The sequence below is a fragment of the Homo sapiens genome, chromosome X (assembly GCF_000001405.40).
Source record: "Homo sapiens chromosome X, GRCh38.p14 Primary Assembly".
NCBI classification, from domain to species: Eukaryota; Metazoa; Chordata; class Mammalia; order Primates; family Hominidae; genus Homo; species Homo sapiens.
Window position 1 is genome coordinate 40,013,849 of NC_000023.11, and position 21,666 is coordinate 40,035,514.

General features: G+C 47.4%; 1 annotated feature.

The window, feature by feature from the left end:
- Positions 654-1,153: an enhancer, noted in NCBI's record as "H3K27ac hESC enhancer chrX:39873755-39874254 (GRCh37/hg19 assembly coordinates)". NCBI's record gives its function as "activates a minimal SCP1, AML or CMV promoter by ChIP-STARR-seq in naive H9 embryonic stem cells {active_cell/tissue: H9 hESC(naive)}" and the evidence as "EXISTENCE:reporter gene assay evidence [ECO:0000049][PMID:30033119]".

Consider the following 21,666-nt stretch of genomic DNA (forward strand, 5'->3'; position numbering starts at 1 on the left):
GGTGGGGGTGGCCGAGCTGGCCCACTTGGCACGGAAGGGCAGGCAGGCCAGGCGACGCGGCGCGAGATTCCACAGCTCCCGCTCCGGACCGGGGGAAATCCTGGAGTGCCAGAGAGCCCGGGGAGGGGGCGCTCCGGGAGCCTCTCCTTGAAAGGCGGGATGCTTTCCCCGTTCCTCCCGCGCACGTGTCCTCAGCAGAGCAGGCAAGCGCTGCGCGCCTGGGGCTGCGATCCTCGGGTGACAGCGACTGAGAGCGCGCCCTCTCCACCCCCACCCCCGCCGTCGCCGCCTCTCCTGGGGAGCTCCAGTCTCCAGGGTGCGCTCGGGGCAGGCCCCAAGAGCCAGAGAAACGGAAAAGTGCCGGGGAGGCGATTAGGAAGAGAAGACATTAAAAAGCCCAGCCCTGAAAGACAGGCAGCCGAGCTGAAAAAGACGCCTGCGAACCCCCACCCCGCCGCCCCTCGCCTACTGCGCCCAGACGGCCCCTCCTTGTCCCGGCTGAGCGCACCCACCCCCGGCCTCGGCCGGGGCGAATTCGTGTGTGTGTGTGTGTGTGTGTGTGTGTGTGTGTGTGTGTGCGCGCGCGCGCGCGCGCTCGAGTGCCGGGAGGGCAGTTGCGAAACGGGCTCTTGGCTGCAGCGCGGCATAATGGAGGTGGCTGGAACAATGCGCGCTTTGTGCGCGCGGGGAGTTGTTTTCCACCCGCCTCGCCCCCCTTGCTCGGGCCGTATGGCACTTTAATCTCCGCCACGACTCGGCACAAATGCACTTGTGTCCTGCGGGTCACTGGGGGCCGTGCGGCTGGAGCCGCCCCCACCCCGACCCCCGCGGAACCCACCGCCGGCTGCCCCATCTTCCTTCCTGAGCACCCCCCACCACCACCTCAATTCCCGGCGTGGGCCGGTGAGCTGGCGTGGAAGCTTCCGGGCCCGCCGGCCACTTTTATTTTCCGTGAAGACGGCCCCTCCCCCGCTCCACGAGCGCGCGCGCGCACACACACACACACACACACACACACGCCGCCCGCAGGCCCCACACTCACCGCCCTCTCTCGCCTAGCCTCTCCTCGGCCCGCCTCCGCCCCCGCCCCCGCCCCCGCCCCGCGCTCCGGACTCCTGCGAACAATAGTAAATGTCAACAGATTCCGCGCGGCGAGTGTCTGACTCGGCCGAGATAAGGGTGCGCGGTTGGCCCCGCGCTCCTCGTCGCCGCGGGGGGAGCCCACCCTGACCCCGGCTGGAAGGAACCGGCTGTGACTAAACCCGTGCCGGGAGAGGGGGGCGGGAGGGCAGGGCACCAGTCCCAGCTCGGTGGGGCAGCCTCGCCAGGAGACCAGGCCCTGCCCCGCCCCCACCCCACTTAACCCGTTGCCGATGGGGGAACCTATGGGCACCGTAAAAGCCGCGGGGTCGACGTGGCGGTCGGGCCTGCTTTTGGCCCACAGCTGCAATCTCCAGAGGATATCGGCAAAACGCTGATCCACGTGAGGACTCGCAGTTTTCGACCTACTGGGAGCCAGCACCTGAAGCAAAGGATTCGAGTCCTGATGTCCGGAGACTCATTAAAATATTTTCCTAAGCGCGCACACACTCGCAGGTCCTCCTCCTTGGTCGTCGGTAACCCACCACCCAACCGAATTAAAATTCGCAAATTGATTCCCACGCGTTGGTATTAATGGGTTGTTCCTCTTAAATTGTTGCCAACTTTGCTAATGGATTATTATTTAAATGATTTCTTTTTCATAAAGTACGTGTTGTTTTATAGATGCGTATTTACTTAAAGAAATCAACTGCATGTATTAACATATTAAAGAGAGAATAAAGCATCGGGGCCGGTGTAATGTACTGTTCAGCCTTACTTTGGGTGCTCTCGAAGATAGGAAAATCTTATTTGTTTAATAATAAGTCACTCATGAATATGCAAATGGCATCGGTGCAGTACCTCACTTCTGTCACTATTAATGAGTTGCAAATTAATGTGACAACAAAAGGAAAATCTATTTAGTGGAGGAACTCAGGTTCCTACCTGGGGAGATCACAAGCAAGCCTGGAACTTGAGTCTCCAGGCAGGAGAGGACTGGGGATGGACACGTACCTCCTCACGTAGTGTTTTCCTGGAGCCTCCACTATTGTTTGGTTTCAGGGACCTGCTTTGTCAGGAACCCCTTAAAATTCCTGCTCCAGACCAGAGGAAGAAAGGCTGCTCCAGGGTAATTAGGGCCAAGTGTGATTAATGGAAATCAACCCACAGTTTGAAGTAAAGCAGTTGGCCAAGCAGATTTTGGGGGGTCTCCTCCCCCGAGCTTAAAGATTCCCCAAAGCCTTTTTGACCTCTGTTGCTTTGGACAGGGTTGAGGACGTAAATAGCGAATTAGCCCTCACAGGCCTGATCACAGGTATTAAGACAGCACCCTATGCACTTGAATTTTACGAGGTGACTTTGCTGATGGGAGATTTAAGAGCAGATCAGCTCATTTTCCTGCCGACCTACTTCCCAGAGGTTACAGACTGAAGTCTGGTTGTCTTCCATTTGAGCCTTCATTCTTTTCTGGCCTACACACCAGAGCCTATTTTTATTTCATCGATGATGCTGAAGAGAGTGTTTCTAATTCAGTTAAGTTTGGAAACATCGCTGAGAAAAAATAAATGTTGAGCTGTCCAGAACTGTGAACGAATAGTTCAGGTGCCTGGATAGCATTTCAAAGAAGCTGTTTGACTAGGGAACCTTCTGGAAAGATGCACGTATTCGATATCTAACCTGGTTAATGGTTACATGGTTTTATACATATGTAAAAATTCATCAGGCTGAGCATTTAAGATCTGTGCACTTCACTATGTCTAATCTATGACTATGTAAAGCCACCCCAAAGCTTAGTGGTCTAAAACAACAATAATTTATTTTGCTCAAAAATCTGCAATCTGGGCAGGGCTTGGCAGGACAACTCACCTGTGCTCCATGCTGTCAGCTGGGGCAGCTCAACTGGAACTCCACTTTCAAGATAGCTCACACACATTGTTGTTGCTGGCTGTGGTTCTCCACGTGGGCCTCTCCACAGGGTGGCTTGGGCTTCCTTACAGCATGGTGGCTGTGTACCAAGCATCCCAAGAGAGAGGAAATGAAAGCTGTCAGTTACTTAAGGCCTGAGCCTGGAAGCAGATTTTTGGGGGGATTTCCCCCACCCAGCTTAGGTATTCCCCAAAGTTTTTTTGGCCTCTGTTGCTTTGGACAGGGTTTTGGACTATAAATCCGGAATTAGTCCTAACATGCCTGATCACATGCACTAAGACAACACCCTATGCACCCTATGCACCCTATGGCAGTACCATATCTGCCAAGTTCTTCTTTTCTTCCTTTCTTTTTTTTTTTTTTTTTTTGAGGCAGAGTCTCGCTTTGTTGCCCAGGCTGGAGTGCAGTGGCGCAATCCGGGCTCACTGCAACCTCTACTTCCCAGGTTCAAATGATTCTCCTGTCTCAGCCTCCTGCATAACTGGGATTATAGGTGCACGTCACCATGCCTGGCTAATTTTTATATTTTTAGTAGAGATGGGGTTTCACCACATTGGCCAGGCTGGTCTCAAACTCCCGACCTCAGGTGATCCGCCTGCCTCAGCTCCCAAAGTGCTCAGATTACAGGCGTAAGCCGCCTTGCTTGGTTTTTTTGTTTGGTTTTTTGTTTTTTTGTGTTTTGTTTTTTTTTGCCAATCTCACTCTGTCACTCAGGCTGGAGTGCAGTGGCAAAATGGTGGCTCACTTACAGCCTCAACCTCCCAGGCTCAAGCAATCCTCCCACCTCAGGCTCCTGCGTAGCTAGGACTATAGGCGTGTGTGACTGCGCCCAGCTATTTTTTAAAATTTTTTTTGTAGCGATAGAGTCTCAGTATGTTGCCCAGGCTGGTCTTGAACTCCTGGCCTCAAGTGATCCTCCTGCTTTGGTCTCCCAAAGTGCTGGGATCAGGCATGAGCCACTGTACCCAGCCTACATCTGCCATATTCTATTGCACAAGTAGTCACAGAGCCCAAACTCAAGGAGGAGAGGACATAGAACCCTCCCTCCCGCTTCTCAATATAAAGTGTATCAGAGATTTGGGGGGGGGGGCTATTGTTTTTAAAACTACTATATATCTCATTTTAAAAGAAAATAGAATATGTGACATCAGCCGGGCATGGTGCTCACACCTGTAATCTCAGCATTTTGGGAGGTTGAGGCAGGCGGATCCCTTGAGACCAGGAGTTAGAGACCAGCCCGGGCCACATCTCGAAAACCCATCTCTACAAAAAAAAACAAACAAAAAATTAGCCGGGCATGGTGGTGCCTGCATATACTCCCAGCTTCTCAGGAGCTGAGGTGGGAGGATCCTTTGAGCCCAAGAGGTTAAGGCAGTGAGCCATGATGGCACCACTGCATTCCAGCACCTGGACGACAGAGAAAGAGCCTGCCTCAAAACAAACAAACAAAAAAGAATATGTGACTTCATTTGTTGCTTCATGTCCCAGCCCACTTTGACTTTCTTCCACATCTCTTTTCTCCCAGTCATCAATGGGTTGCTATCCCACTAAATTCATGTGGGTGTGTATAGAAAAAGACCATTTACATTTGAGTTTTAAGTTGTTATTAATTTATCAAAGTTCCAAATTTTAAAATCTAGACTTTTACAAGCCTTAAAATTTAGTTTATTTTATTATTATTTATGTATTTATTTATTTGAGATAGGAGTTGCACTCTGCTGCCCAGACCAGAGTGCAGTGGTACAATCACAGCTCACTGCAGCCTCCACCACCCAGGCTTAGGTGATCCTCCCCCCTCAGCCTCACAGGTAGGTGGGACTACAGGCTTGCACCACCATGTCCGGCGAATTTTTGTACTTTTTGTAGAGACAGGGTTTTTTAGAGACAGAGCCATGTTGCCCAGGCTGGTCTGGAATGCCTGGGGTCAAGCAATCCACTCGCCTCGAACTCCCAAAGTGTTGGGGTTATAGACATGAGCCACCAGGCCTGGCCAAATTCAATTTATTAACTTTGTTATTTTTACATAAAATTAGAGCAGTCATTTTTCAGGATGGCTTTCTTTTTGTTTTTGGAGACAGGGCCTTGCTCTGTCACCCAGGCTGGAGTGCATTGGCACAGTCATAGTTCACTGCAGCCTCGAACTCTTGGGATCAAGCAGTAACATTTACAAATCAAGTAAATTAAATACTTAAATATTCTGAATATCTAGTTGTCTTAAATAATGCAACTCTGCTATCCAAGTCAAATTGCAATTCATTTTACCTTAAAATCACAAATTTTATACAATTTTATGCTGGAACCATAAGGATAATGTATCAAAGTCTTTTTTTTTTTTTTTTTGAGATGGAGTCTCACTCTGTTGCCCAGGCTGGAGTGCAGTGGCACACTCTCGGCTCACTGCAAGCTCCACCTCCCGTGTTCACACCATTCTCCTGCCTCAGCCTCCCGAGTAGCTGGGACTACAGGCGCCCGCCACCACGCCCGGCTAATTTTTTATATTTTCAGTAGAGACGGGGTTTCATCCTGTTAGCCAGGACGGTCTTGATCTCCTGACCTCGTGATCCACCCGCCTCGGCCTCCCAAAGTGCTGGGATTACAGGCGTGAGCCACCTCGCCCAGCCCTCAAAGTGTTTAATACACCCAAATTGTCGTAAACACTGGAAATTAAATCACAGACATAGCTTGTTCCTGAACTTAACACCAAAATATCACTACAGTATATTTGATTCATTTCATCTTCTCCATATTCAATTCTCAACCTTCCCAAGGTTAAAAGGACACCCTCTGAAGAATGTGTTTTGCCATCTCAAGGGAGTTGAGGTTACTTGATGTAAGGAAAAATTTAAGGCTTTGGAATAAGCAAAAGAGATTACCGGCTATTTTTTCAATGGAATGCTTCGTGGGGGTAGAGGGGTAGATTGTCTGAGCCTACAGGGATATAAGTCTTTGTCTTTGACTAGGCTATTTTACGACTCTGGAAGTGTAGATAACTAATAGCAATGTGAATACTTCTTGCCTCTAGACAAGCAAATAACTTCTATCTAGGGAGCGGAGAATCCCCACCCCCACCCCAAAAGCCAGTTTTGCATCCATATGCAAATTTATTTCAATATTCTTGATGTATAAATATGTCTTCTTTGAATTCATCTTTGAATTAGTTGTACTATCTTACCCATTCCCTCATTTAGTTAATGAATTAAACAAAATCTTTGACATGTGCTCATTTATATTTGTATGAAAGTCATGCTTTTGCCTTTTTGGTGAAAATTATCAGCCGGGAACAGTGGCTCATGCCTGTAGTTCCAGATACTCTGGAGGCTGAGGTGAGAGGATTGCTTGAGCCTGGGAGGCAAAAGGTGCAGTGATCACACCACTATACTCCAGCCTGGGTGACAACATGAGACTCTGTCTGAAAAAAAAAAAAAAGAAAAGAAAAAAAAGAAAATTATCCTTTAACATTGGTCAGGCAGGAGGCGGTGTCTCATGCCTGTAATCCCAGCACTTTGGGAGGCCGAGGCAGGTGGATCACCTGAGGTCAGGAGTTCAAGACCAGCCTGGCCAACATGGTGAAACCCAGTCTCTATTAAAAATACAACAATTAGCCAGGCATGGTGGCGGGCACCTGTAATCCCAGCCAGCAGCTACTCATGAGGCTGAGGCAGCAGAATCTCTTGAACCCAGGAGGCAGAGGTTGCAGGTTGAGATCGTGCCACTGCACTCCAGCCTGGGCAAAAGAGCAAGACTCCGTCCCAAAAAAAAAAAAAAAAAAAAAAATTGGTCAATAGGTTATCATTCCATATAGATAATATTTATAGCCAGCTATAAATTACAAGCCAAGATGCAGGATATGGGACCTGTAAATATTCAAGGAGGCTATTCCTATACCCCAGACAGATCAACAGAGCCCTTTTTATCCTGTTTATAGTTGCTATGACAATTGAAGATCCAAGGCCATATCCTTCAGGTGGAACATTTTGCTCAAGCTCAGGTGCCCAGTTCAAGGTAGTTCTTTGTTTTTTCTTTTTTTGGAAACAAGATCTCACTTCAACACCCAGGCTGGAGTGCAGTGCCACAATCACAGCTCACTGCAGCCTCAACTTCCTGGACTCAGGTTATCCTCCCACCTCAGCCTCCCAAGTAGCTGGGACCACAGACATGCACCACCACGCCTGGCTGATTTTTTGTATTTTTGTAGACACGAGGTTTCACCATGTTGCCTAAGCTGGTATCAAACTCCTAGGCTCAAGCAATCCACCCGCCTTGGCCTCCTAAAGTGTGGGATTATAGGCATGAGCCACCAAGCCTGGCCCAAGGTAAATTTTTACCTGATTCATTCTAACCTCTTCTCTCTCTCAGCTCTGTCATCTAATGGGTGGAAAGAAAATATGTAGCTACTACCCATATTGTTGCAACACTTTTTTTTTAGAGACAAGGTCTTGGTCTCTTACCCAGGCTGGAGTGCAGTGGTGTGATCACAGCTCACTGCATCCTCAATCTCCTCGGCTCAAGCGATTCTCATGCCTCAGCTCCTGAGTAGGTGGAACTACAGACGAGTGCCACCACATCTAGCTAAATTTTTTTTAAATTTTTTGTAGAGATGGGGTCTCACTATATTGCCTAGGCTGGTCTTGAACTCCTGGGCTCAAGCAATCTTCCCACCTCGGACTCCCAAAGTGCTGGGATTGCAGGCATGAGCCACCACACCTAGCCTAGCTGTCGCAACTCTTGATTGGATTCTAGTAACCTATTTACCACCTGTAGTGGTTTTTAAATATGTCCACAAGTTATTTGATACTCCTCCCTTCAAAAGGTGGAGCCTAATTTTCCTCCCCTGAGTTGTGGGCTGTACTTAGTGACTTACTTCTAATGAATAGAATGTGACACAAGTGATTGTACGTGACATCCATTATTAGAATATAAAAGGCATTGTGGCTTCCTCCTTGCTATCTGAGGGAAGCCAGCTGCTGTGTCATAGAGACATTTAAGTAGCCCTATGGAGTGAGTAATGTGTCAAAGAATTAAGGCCTTCTGGCAACAGCTATGTGAGTGAACCATCTTGGAAGCAGATCCTGCAGCCTCAGTCGAACCTTCAGATGACTGTAGCCCTAGCCAACATCTCAACTACAACCTCATGAAAGTCTGAGCTAGTACCATTTAGTACTAGCTCCTGAATTCCTGACCAACAAGAACTCTGAGATAATGAATATTTGCTGTTTCAAGCCACTGAATTTTGGGGTGACTTGTTACACAGCAATAAAAAATGATAATAATACAGAAGTCAATCTTGCATTTGGGCATAGCTCTAAACCAAATAACACTAAACACAGTTCTGTTTTGCTCAGGGGATTGGCTATCCCTTTTCCCACCTCCAAAGCAAGACATTCACCTATTTTTCTCAACCTTGAGAACCATTTTCTAAAAGCCATTAGGAATAACCTAAATTACATTGCTAGGAGCAAGAGAAAAGCATGAACATATACAGCAAAATAAAGTTTCCGGCAATAACAGTGATGGTAAACTTGCAGAAAGAGTAAAACAGTTTTAAATAGTTCTTTTGATCACTTTGCAGTTGAAAGTCAGAGCTTTGTAAGAATTCATTAGCATTTTAACTTAAAGAAAGGAACCATCCTTGTGGGTAGAGTCAAAACGAAACCAAACACACATTCATACCTTATAAGAAGCCGCCAAAGGTGTGAAGAGCAAAACTAGGATGATTAAGTTCTGCAGGAGTAAATCTCCCATAGGCATGCCCTGAAGAGTTACTTAAAGATAAAATAACTTCCTTTCTATCTGCATTGGTATTTTTCGACAACTGAAATGATAAAACATTTAGAGTGTGACCTAAATGACTCAGGTTCCTTCCTGTCCCAAGAGCAGGGACATTGCATTCTAGCTAAGACATTGTATTCTAGCTAAAGGAGTAGGTAGACCATCCCATATTCAAATTACTTAGTCCCACTCTTTCTGTGAGCTCAGATGGAAAAAGGGAAATCGTGTGTGTGTGTGTGTGTGTGTGTGTGTGTGTGTGAGTTACTTCCACAAAGGATTTGAGTAAATATATAACAAAAATGTAATAAATGGATAGAAAAGTATACATAGTAAAAATCCAGAATCAGGGTGAATTTAACCAGGAGTAGAAGGATGAGACAATACGAAGGCCAGAAGAGGAATACTTTTTTCCTAGCGATTTGTCAGCATTCAGTATTCATTTTTATTTGATTTTTTTTTTTTTTTTTTAAGACGGAGTCTTGCTCTTGTTGCTCAGGCTGGAGTGCAATGGCACAATCTCGGCTCACTGCAACCTCCGCCTCCCCAGTTCAAGCGATTCTCCTGCCTCAGCCTCCAGAGTAGCTGGGATTACAGGCGCCCGCCACTGCGCCTAGCTAATTTTTTTATTTTTAGTAGAGACAGGGTTTCACTGTGTTGGCCAGGCTGGTCTCGAACTCCTGACCTCAGGCGATCCACCCGCCTCAGCCTCCCAAAGTGCTGGGATTATAGGCGTGAGCCACCACCCCTGGCCTTCATTTATTTGAACACTATTAAGCAGCTACTACAAACTAGAAACCAAAAATAACAAAAAACATACAAGGCACAGCCCATTGTTAAAGATGCTTGCTGGGCGCAGTGGCTCATACCTGTAATCTCAGCACTTTAGGAGGCTGAGGCTGGTAGATGGCTTGAGCTCAGGAGTTTGAGACCAGCCTGGCCAACATGGTGAAAACCCCATCCCTGCAAAAAATACATACAGATTAGCCAGGTATGGTGGTGCATGCCTGTAGTCCCAGCTACTTGGGAGACTGAGGTGGGAGGATCACTTGAGCCAGGGAGGTCGAGGCTGCAGTGAGCTATGATCATACCACTGCACTCTAGCCTGGACAACCTGGTGAAACCCCATCTCCACACAAAAATACAAAAGTTAGCCAGGCGTGGTAGTGCATGCCTGTAGTCCCGGCTACTCAGGAGGCTGAGGCAGAAGGATTGCTTGAGCCCAGGAGGTCAAGGCTGCAGTGAGCCGTGATTGTGCCACTGCTCTTCAGCCTGGGCAAGAGAGTGAGACCCTGTCTTAAGTTAAATAAATAAATAAGTAAGTCTTTGTAGGTTAGTCGGTATATGTGCCACCAGAATTGTATATACCTGTATAGCATCACACCTGACAGCAATTAACTTAAGCATAGCTTAAGCACTCTTAGACTGAAGGGTCATGGTCTAAGAAGAATGTGTGTTTGGAGCTCCAAACTAAGGAATCTGGGAGTGGTCATCCCTGAGATTTATTCCTTATCCGTGAAGGACATCTGAACCCCCAGTCTATCCCTTGGAATGCAGGCTGTACAGCAGATCGAGGCCCTTTGTTTGGGGTTGGATGGAGGTTGCTAGGTGGAGGGTGCTAGGTGGCGGGTGCTAAGTGAAAATGCCATATAAACGGCATGCTTGTTACAAATTGAAGCAGTTGTCCTGTCCAGCCCGCCGTCACTGGACCACTCCTCTATGTAAGTCCTTATCAATAAGCCCTATGTCTCGTTTGTTAGCTGAGTCTCTTCTTCAGCCTCTAGGGCATGGAGCCATCCCTATTGGAGTCAACAGGTGTCCAGCACGCACGACAACATGTTCATCAACAAACATGTTCACCAAAAAGCTGCACTATGGGTAATGGCCTCAAGCTGGCTTTTATCCCAGTGCCCACCCATAGCAGAACGCGAGAAGAAACTGCGGTGTCCACACAATGAGATATTACACAGCAGCAATGAGAATAAACAATCTACAGCTACACATAACAACCCAGAGGGATCTCATAAACATAATATTGAGTGGAAGAAGCCAGATAGAAAAACGCACAGTGGCGGGGGACTGTGGCTCACGCCTGTAATCTCAGCACTTTTGGAGGCCAAGGCGGGCAGATCACCTGAGGTCAGGAGTTCAAGACCAGCTTGGCCAACATGGCAAAACTCCATGTCTACTAAAAATACAAAAAAATTAGCTGGGCGTCATGGCAGGCACCTGTAGTTCCAGCTACTCGGGAGGCTGAGGCACAAGAATCGCTTGAAGCCAGGAGGCAGAGGTTGCAGTGAGCCGAGATCGCAACACTGAACTCCAGCCTGGACGACAGAGTGAGACCTTTTCTCAAAAATAAATAAATAAAATACAAAAGGGCACAGACTGCATGATTCCATGCAGATAAAGTGTGAAACCAGGCCAGACTAACCTATGTAGTTAGAAGTCAGGAAAATAATTACCCTTTGTGGGGAGGGGTGTAGTGATGGGAGACAGCCCAAGGAGCACCTCTGGGAGACTGGGAATGTTCTGTTCCTTCATTTGGGGGTGGTTTATGTACAATTGCAAGTCTCTTTATGAAAGTCTGTTGAGCCATACACCTTTTTCACCTTTTCCTTAATTTTTGTTGTTGTTGTTGTTGTTAAGAGAGACCAGGTCTCACTATGTTGCCCAGGCTGACCTTGAACCCCTGAACTCAAGCAATCCACCTGCCTCGGCCTCCCAAATTACTGGGATTACCGGTGTGAGCCACCAAGCCCAGCCTGAGCCATATACTTAGAATACTTGCAGTTTTATGTACGTTTGCAGTACTTCAATAAAATGTGTAAAAAAAAAAAAAAAAAAGAAAAGTCCACCCTTCAATAGAGTGGGTGGGCCAATGAGGAAGGAGTGGTTAAGGTGGAGAGCGGGGAAAAGCTTCCTGGAGGCAGTGAGGCAAGCTTTGTCTTCACAGATAAGTCCACGTTAGCCTTGGAGGTGGATGAGGGAAGGTGTTCAGAGAGAGGGGAAGCCCAAAAGCAAAACCAGAGAGGCCAGAACAGTCTGAGCCCCAGGGAACTGTAAGGGAAGAGTTGCAAACTAACAGTGGCCAGGACAGAGGGGCCAGCCTTTGGCAAGCACTGTCAGAGAAGCTGCTCCTTCCACATGCTCACCAGTGTCCGCTAGAGAGTCAGAGCTGGAGGGGACAGAGTGACATTTGTACTCTCAAAAGCTCCCTCAATGGCCTGTCGTGGTGGCTCATGCCTATAATCCCAGCACTTTGGGAATCTGAGCCAGGCGGATCACTTGAGGTCAGGAGATTGAGACCAGCCTGGCCAACATGGTAAAACCCCATCTCTACTAAATATATAAAAATTGGCCAGGCATGGTGGCATGCACCTGTAATCCCAGCTACTCAGAAGGCTGAGGCAGGAGAATTGCTTGAATCTGGGAGGCAGAGGTTGTGGTGAGCCTAGAATGCACCACTGCACTCCAGCCTGGGCGACAGAGCAACACTCCGTCTCAAAAAAAAAAAAAAAAAAAAAGCCAAGCCCAAGCAGTGGGGTGGGTGGCGGGTAGCACTGGGCAGGACTGAAGGCTTAGAGAACCTCCCAAAGTGAGGTCCAGGCCAGAAGCAGGGGGGCGTGGCCTGCTGGGTGGTGGAGCTGGAGAGGAGCAGAGAACACGAAGGAACTCAAAGAGGAGATTTAGAAGTTTCCAAAGAATGTCAGGGAGCAAGGAGGAGCATGAAAGGTGGGGTATTTTTAAAGCTTCTAGTTACACATAAAAAATACGGTCAGTTCAGCTATCCATAAAGGCAGCTTCACTGAATTCTTAAGGACAGAATCAGTCATCAAAGGGATGCTCTGATTTCTCTCTAAAATAGGGCTTCTTAACTTGCGATCTGTAGATAGAATTTTGGGGACTTGTGAATTTGGGTGGGAAATATTGGTATTTTTCTTTTCATTAACCTTGAACTGCAATTCTGCATTTCCCTTGGTCATGCATGTAAGCCACAAATACAGTTGTTTTAGCAGCACCTATAACTGTCACCATTCGAAAGCACAGAATTTTCATATTCTATTACAGGTGATGCTGATATCTCAACATACAGATTGCACTCACCACTAATTCAAAATCATATTTATCAGGCCTGCCATTAGATCTTATTATTTAATTCACAATTGATCTTTGCACATCTATTAGTGTTGTGGGTATCTACGCCATGTAACAAATTACCCCCAAAACTTAGTGGCTGAAAACAGCAACAATCATTTCTTTAGCTCCTGAACCAGCAGTCTGGACAGGGCTTGGCAGGATGTTTCCTATCTGCTACAGGCAGTCAGAAGCCTCAGATGGGATGACCCAAATGACTGGAGGCTCCTTGGGCATCTCCACCAATCTGTCCCTCTAGGCAGTCTCCTGGCCTCTCTCTGTTGTCCCTTCAAATGAGCTCTCTGGCATGGTAGCCTCTGGGTAGACAGACTTCTTACATGATATCTTACAGTCCCCGAAAGAGTGCTCTGGCAAACAAGGAAGAAGCTGCAAGGCGTCTTCTGACCTAGCTTTGAAGTTCCAGAATGTCACTTCTGCCATTTTCTATTGGTCAAGTAAATCTTTTACTAAGGTCAGCCTAGATACAAGGGGAGGGGACACCTCCCCTCTCACCAACCTCTCTATGGGAGAAGTGTCAAAGAATTTGTGGCCACAATGATTGCATCACAAATATGTGGTTTTTCAGGGTTTTTTTTTTGTTTTGTTTTGTTTTTGGTTTTGTTTCTTTTTTTTTTTTTTTTTTTTTTGAGATGGAGTCTCGCCCTGTCACCCAGGCTGGAGTGCAGTGGTATGATCTCGGGTCACTGCAACCTCCGCCTCCCGGGTACAAGTGATTCTCCTGCCTCAGCCTCCCGAATAGCTGGGATTACAGGTGTGCGCCACCACACCTGGCTAATTTTTGTATTTTTAGTAGAGACGGGGTTTCGCCATGTTGGCCAGACTGGTCTCGAACTCCTGACCTCAGGTGATCCACCTGCCTTGGCCTCCCAAAGTGCTGGGATTACAGGCATAAGCCACTGTGCCCAGCTGTTTTTTTTAGTATTTCGATAACTGTATTTCAATATAATTGGCTTTTTTTGTAACCCTATTCTTTTATTCTATGCTTTTTTTTTTTTTTTTTTTGAGACAGAGCCTTGCTCTGTCTCCCAGGCTGGAGTGCAGCGGTGTGATCACTGCTCACTACAGCCTCCACCTCTCGAGCTCAAGTGATCCTCCTGCCTCAGGCTCCTGAGTAACTGTGACCATAGTTGCAGGCCACCATGCCTGGCTAATTTTTTAAAAAAACTATTCGTAGAGACGGTGTCTTTCCATGGTGCCCCGGCAGGTCTTGAACTCTTGGCTTCAAGCGATACTCCAGTCTCGACCTCCCAAAATGTTGGGATTATAAGTGTGAGCCACTGTGCCCAGCCCATATGATCTCATTTAAACCTCACAGCAATCCTATGGGGCAGGCATTATTCTTATTCTGGTTTACAGAGGAAGAAACTGATTTGAACCCAGATCCCAGTTGAAGGGTAGATCTGATAATTATTCTCTTTACTTTTATTTATTTTTTCCTACTACTCATTCTCAAGTTAACTTGTGATCTTCTCCTTGTGTGCATATGTCTGCTATATCAATTAGTACTAGGGTTGGTTATGTGACATAAAAGTCCTATAATAATAATTGCTTGACAAGAGTGATGCTGATTTCTTTCACTGAAAGATGTATAGGGCTGATATGGCACTCCATGTCAGGGACCTGGTCTTGTATTGCTCCAGCATCCTAGGCATGATGTGGCTGCCTGAGCTCCAGCCATCGTGCTCACATTCCCATCTGTAGGATGGAGAAAAAAGGTGTTACTGTTTCATTTCTGCTTCTTGCCACTTGCCCTCAAACCCAGTGTTTTCTGGGATCTTCTCCCTGTGCTATCGTGAAATATATATTTGGTGTTCTCCCATCTCTTGGCGTACAACTCCTAAAATACTTGGAATCTCCAAAGCGTTGGTATCTTTTTGTATGCTAATGAGATGACTGCTGTCTGGCAACCCCTATGTAGCTTTGGGATAGGGGCTGGTCACCAGAAAGACAAAGACAGGATTAGAGGGTTGGGACTTTCAGCCCCCAACCTCTGGGGAGGGGAGAGGGGTTGAAGATTGAGTTGACCACCAATGGCCAATGATTTAATCAATCACGCCTACATAACAAAGCCTCCATAAAAAGGCCAAAGGACAGGGTTTAGGGAGCTTCCAGATAGCTGCACACGTGGAGGTTCCTGGAGGGTGGTGCACCTAACCCCATGCCTCACCCTATGTGTCTCTTCATCTGTATTATTTGTAATATTCTCTATAATAAACTGGTAAACGTGTTTCTCTGAGTTCTGGGAGCCACTCTAGCAAATAAATTAATTGTACCCAAGGAGGGGGTCATGGAAATCGCAATGTACAGCCAGTAGGTAAAACAACCTGGAGCTTGCAATTGGCATCTGACATGGCAGTGGGGGCAGAGAGCAGTCTTGCGGACTGAGTCCTCGACCGGTGGGATCTGATGCTGTCTCTGGATAGGTAGGGTTGGAACTGAATTGGAGGACACCCAGCTGGTGTCCACTGCAGGGCTGATTGCTTGCTTGCTGGTGGGGACAAAGCCCCACACATCTGGTCACAGAATTCTTCTGTGTTGATTGTTACGGTGTGAGAGCAGAAGAAAAAGAGTCTGTTTTTTCCACTCACTCTCCCACTAGACGGTAAGCTCCAGGAAGTTGGGAACTGTGTTTGACATTGTACCCCAGGTCCCAATATGTTGCCTGACCCCTAGTAAGTGTTCAATAAGTAGTTCTGAAATAAAGTGAATATCAGGGTGCAAGCAGCTCTGTGATTTGTATTCTATTGACTGCCTCTGTCTCTTGCCTCCTGCGTCTGCTTACAAGGGCCCTTCTCCTAGGCTTTGCTTTTGAAATGCCACTGTCCTTCAAGACCCATATATTTTGTCACCTCTCTAGAATACATCTGCTGTGAGTTGAATTGTGTCTCCCCAGTATTCACATGTTGAAGTCCTCACCCCCAGTACATCAGAATGTGACCAAATTTGGAAATAGCAGGTTGCAGATGCAATGAGTTAAGAGGAGGTCATGCCAGAGTAAGGTGGCCCCTAATCCAATATGAATGGTGTCCTTATAAAGAGGGGGAATTTGGAGACATATGCACACAGAGAGAAGACCATATGAAGATGAGGGCAGGGCCGGACGCGGTATCTTACACCTGTAATCCCAGCACTTTGGGAGGCCGAAGCAGAAGAATCGCTTGAACCCGGGAGGCGGAGGTTGTAGTGAGGCAGAGATGGCGCCACTGCACTCCAGCCTGGGCAACAGAGTGAGACTCTGTCTCAAAAAAAAAAAAAAAGAAGAAGATGAGAGCAGAGATCAGCTTGATGTTTCCACAAGTCAAAGAACCCCAAAGACTGTCAGCAAGCCACCAGCAACGGGGTGAGAGGCACGAACAGATTTTCCCTCACAACCCCCAGAAGAAACTAACCCTAGCATCACCTTGATCTTAGACTTCCAGACTCCAGAACGGAGAGACAATAACTGAGACAATAACAAAGTATCATAAATATGGCACTTTGTTACAGCAGCCCTAGGAAACTAATATAAAATCACACACCAAGCCATTGAGAGTGCTGGGCTCTCCATTCCCCTGGGCCCTTTCTTTACAAGCAGGTGGCGAAATTAGCTTTGGACAGGGGCCTGTTTGACTTAGTCCTCTATGTAAGTTCCTGAGGAATGGGCATTGTGGGTCCTCCAGCGTGTAGCCATCTTTGCCTGATACCCTGCAATTCACAGATATTTGTGAATTTGGCAGAGTCACACAATTGTGCAGAGCCCCAGGACTTAGGCTGTGTTTGAGGTGGTAGTGTGACTTAACCATATTTTTCTTTCTTTTAATTAAAAAATAAAATCAGGCAGGGCACAGTGGCTCACGCCTGCAATCCCAGCTACTCTGTAGGCTGAGGAGGGAGGATTGCTTGAGGCCAGGAGGTCAAGGCTGCAGTGAGCCATAATCACACCACTACAGTCTAGACTGGGTGACAGAGCAAGACCCTATCTCAAAAAAAATAAAATAAATAAAAAAAATTAAAAATAGGTCGGGCACGGTGGCTCACACATGTAATCCCCGTCTCTGCTAAAAATACAAAAATTAGCTGGGCATGGTGCTGCGTGCCTGTAATCCCAGCTACTTGGGAAGCTGAGGCAGGAAAATCGCTTGAACCCAGGAGGCAGAGGTTGCAGTAAACTGAGATTGAGTAACTGCACTCCAGCCCGGGAGACAGAGCAAGACTCCATCTCAAAAAATAAAATAAAATAAAATAAAATAATAAATAAATAATAAAATCAACAGCCTCCAATGCAAAAGAAGTAGTGCCTTTTTAACTGTTTTAAAACCAAGCAATACAATCCGAAGAAATCTTTTTTTTTCTTTTCTTGTGGGGTGGGTGGGGGTGGGGTGATAGTACAGCTTTCAAGAAAGGTTTGTCTGCTTTGTGGATTTCCCGATTAAAATGACAGGAGCCTCGGCAACATAGTGAGATCCTATCTTTACAAAAAAATAATAATAATTTAAAAAATTAGGCGGGCATGGTAGCACATGCCTGTAGTCCCAGCTACTGGGGAGGCTGAGGTGGGAGGATTGCATGAGCCTGGAAGATCAAGGTTGCAGTGAGCTATGATCGCACCATTGAGCAGCAGCTTGGGCGAAAGAGTGAGACCCTGTCTTCAAAAAAAAAAAAAAAAAAAAAAGAGGAGAATAAGTAAACTTGGGGAAATGATGCAAGAGGACTGGAAAGGACGGATGTAGGTGTGAAAAGAGCAGCCCAAAATCCAGCTGGAGAAGAGAACGGAAACATTCTCGGTATTGGTGAGCTGGCGAATATAGCATACAGTTCCCAAGGTCAAAGGCACTGCTGCCTTGGGGTGGGGACCTCAATTCTGAAATGGCTGAGCCTCTTCTTTCCAGAAAGATGCTGGATAGTTTAATTAACTAGTTAGTAAACAAACAAACATAAATAAAAATGACGGCATTCCTGCTTTATGCTTCTCGGAGGGACCAGTGACTCTCCGTGATTTCTTTTTGCTGAGAGGGGAAGGGTACAATTCTGCACTTACTTTATTTATTTATTTATTATTACTATTTTTGAGACAGGGTCTTGCTTGCTCTGTCGCCCAGGCTGGAGTGCAGTGGTGCGATCTCAGCTCACTGCAACCCCCCACCTTCCCTGCTCAAGCAATCCTCCCACTTCAGCCTCCTGAGTAGCTGGGAATACAGGCACCACGCCCAGCTAATGTTTGCATTTTTTGGTAGAGATGGGGGCCTTGCCATGTTGTCCAGGCTGGTCTTGAATCACTCCTGACCTCAGGCGATCCACCCGCATCGGCCTTGGATTACAGGAGTGAGCCATCACACCCAGCCATTTCTGCACTTTTAACCAGGGCCGTCCCTGAGTCAGGCCTGGTACTAGGGCTGAGGGAATACAAAGAAAACTCTCTTCAGCCTGAAAGATCTTGCAATTTAGTGACAGACAATACAAATTCCTCCAGGTAGGTTGCCTGGGATACAAAGTGGCCAGTGTATAGAGCATATACAGAGAGTGGTGGAGGGCTGAGAGATGGGATTGTCTCCCTTCTTTAAACCGGTAATTAAGGAACCCGGGCCAAGTCTGCCCACATCTTTGAAGGAGGAGCCATTGTGTGCAGAGGGCTGAGGAGGCCTTGGTGGCTGTCCTCGGGGAACTTAGAACACACCAGGGCAGAAATGTAGTGCACCTGTACTGCTCCCGGACCTGAAAAGAAATCAGCCAAGACATCCCACCCCCGCCCCCGTTTCCAGAAACTTCATTTTAAGCATGGTGGCTTAAATTTCACTTGATTTTGTTTTATTTATTTTTAGAACTGCAGGGTTGGGAAGGGTTTCCAAAAGGGCTAAGAGGCCGGTTTGAGGGAGAAGGTGAGATTTGGAAAGTTTTGCGCAGAAGAGATGGTGGTGGCGGTGCCGCGGAGGAATTTGAAGGGGAAAAGGGCTGTCGGAGTTTGTATTTGAGACCACACAGCCTTGCTGCCCGGCCAAGAATGGCCTGGGTTTTGGCTCTTCTGGGGGCTTGGACCTGGGGGAGGAAGAGGAGGGCAGTTCTCAGGCAGGCGTCTGCCAAACCCGGGTTGGTTTGGAGGATGACGTGGAGCGCTTCAGACATGAATACGCTATGAGGGGAGCTGACAGCTGGGATTGGGGGACGTGTAAAGGGGTGTACGGACGTCTGACTGCGGATTTCAGGAAACAGGGAGTCTTGAGCCTGGGAACTGCAGAGTGTCACATGGGCCATAGGCAGGGAGAGGTTGGAGTTGGATAAAGGGGAGTAGGAGAAGACTAGGCCTAGTGTGTGGAAAATGGCGCTCTTCCGGTCTCCAGAGAGTTCCTCTCAGAACACGATAACTCTCCCCACCGTACCCAGACACCCCCACCAAGGCCAGGCTTATACACACCTCCCTCCCAACCACCCCTTCAGCCTACCTTGCAGTCTGACATTAGACAGGGGATACACGGTGAAACAGACAGAGCCAGGCCTAACCAGTAAAAATAGGTCCAATGGGCCTGGTACGGTAGCTCACACCTGTAATCCCAGCACTTTGGGAGGCCGAGGTGGGTGGATCACCTGAGATCAAAAGTTCGAGACCAGCCTGGCCAACATGGCGAAACCCCTTCTCTACTAAAATACAAAAATTAGCTGGGCATGGTGGTTGGTGCCTGTAATCCCAGCTACTCGGGAGGCTGAGGCAGGAGAATCACTTGCAGTGAATCAGGTTGCAGTGAGCCATTGCACACCAGCCTGGGTGACAAGAGCGAGACTCCGTCTCAAAACAAACAAACAAAAAACAGGCCCAATGGAAGTCTAGAAGCAAAGGCAAGAGGGCAGGGCTAGTGGTTGGAGATTTTGGTGGAGAACAGGGGTTTTGTACAGGGCAGGGACAGAGGAGAGGGGAAAGGCAGAGAAAGGAAGGAATCTGAGGGAAGGCAGAAGTTTCTAGAAGACCCAGGTGACAGATCTGTCAAGGACTAAAGGACCTAAGGCTAGACCACATTTTAGTCCAGAAAGTGGGGACTTTAGGGCACTCATGAGCTTTCAGGTCTAACCATGTGTCCTTGTTCTTTGTTCCTGGTTGCGGCTGTGTCTGATCTTTAGTCTACATGTTAGGTGTGGGAAATGACCCTGATGAGCCATAGAAAGTGTCAGGGTGGTGGTAGTGGGGTGAGTGTGGGAAAAGGATCCAGGACTCCTCTCTTTCACAAGTTGGTAGTTTATTTGTGTAAAAAAGAATGAAAAAAATTTAAATTAAAAACATTTTGGCTGGGTGCGGTGGCTCACACCTGTAATCCCAGCACTTTAGGAGGCGGAGGTGGACGGATCACCTGAGGTCGGGAGTTCAAGACCAGCCTGACCAACATGGAGAAACCCAGTCTCTACTAAAAATACAAAATTAGCCGGGCGTGGTGGCACATGCCTGTAATCCCAGCTACTCAGGAGGCTGAGGCAGGATAATTGCTTGAACCTGGGAGGCAGAGGTTGCGGTAAGCTGAGATCGTGCCATTGCACTCCAGCCTGGGCAACAAGAGTGAAATTCTGTCTCAAAAAAAAAAAATTAAGTTCATGTTCAACACTGGATTCACTTATTAATTTACCAGGTAATTAACCAAGACCTGACGCTCAATGAACTCACTGTACTGTTTCTCTAGGGAGCATTTTAGACAGGAGGCTCTTGAAATGGTCTCCTTTCCCCTACACAGGTGTGAATAATCTGGACCAAGGAAGAGCACATTTCTGTAAACTTTTATTCCATATTTTCATGAGTGAAAAACTCTCCACAGATTGACACGAACATTTAGAGTCTGGTGGGCCCCAGGCCTAACCCACTTTGGAGATGGTTTTGTTTGGCTTTCTCAGTGTTTGATAAGCGTTATGAATAATTGTGAGGGTTCACATCAAAGTTGACATTACTGGCTTCTCTTCTGAAAAGTCCAAAGACCTGGCAGCCCAGAGTGCCATTGCAGCAATGGGCTGGGGCAAAGCAGTGCCCGGTTCCTATAAACAGGGCACGTGCTGTTCAGTTCAGCAGTCTGTCTCCGCCATCCTCGGGGATAACCGTGAGACAGATGCAGGGGATCTGTTCGCTCAAGTTGCCTATTTACATGGCCCTGTGGTCTCTGCAGGGGTTTCAGTGGGGTACCCTGGTTTCTATGCACTGCCTGGGTTCCCCTCTGTAAATATTTGTGATGTATATGGGGAAAAGCAAGTGTAATGTTTTTAAAACACGAATGCAAATTCTCTGATATTCTTCCCACAAAAGGTGGGGTCTAATTCATCTCTTCTTTTTTTTTTTTTTTTTTTTTGAGACGGGGTTTTGCTCTTGTTGCCCAGGCTGGAGTGCAATGGCACGATCTCAGCTTACCGCAACCTCTGCCTCCCTGGTTCAAGCGATTCTCCTGCCTCAGCCTCCCGAGTAGCTGGGATTACAGGCATGTGCCACCACGCCCGGCTAATTTTGTATTTTTAGTAGAGATGGGGTTTGACCATGTGGGTCAGGCTGGTGTCGAACTCCCGACCTCAGGTGATCCACCCACCTCAGCCTCCCAAAGTGCTGGGATTACAGGTGTGAGCCACCGCATCCGGCCTCATCTCTCTTGATTATGGGCTGCCCTCAGTTATTGCCCTCTAACAAACAGGGGACAATGTGTGACCATCAAAAGTAGGTCATAAAAGGAAGTACAGCTGCGTGTGGTGACTCATGCCTGTAATCCTAGCTACTCAGGAGGCGAAGGCAGGAGGATCACTTGA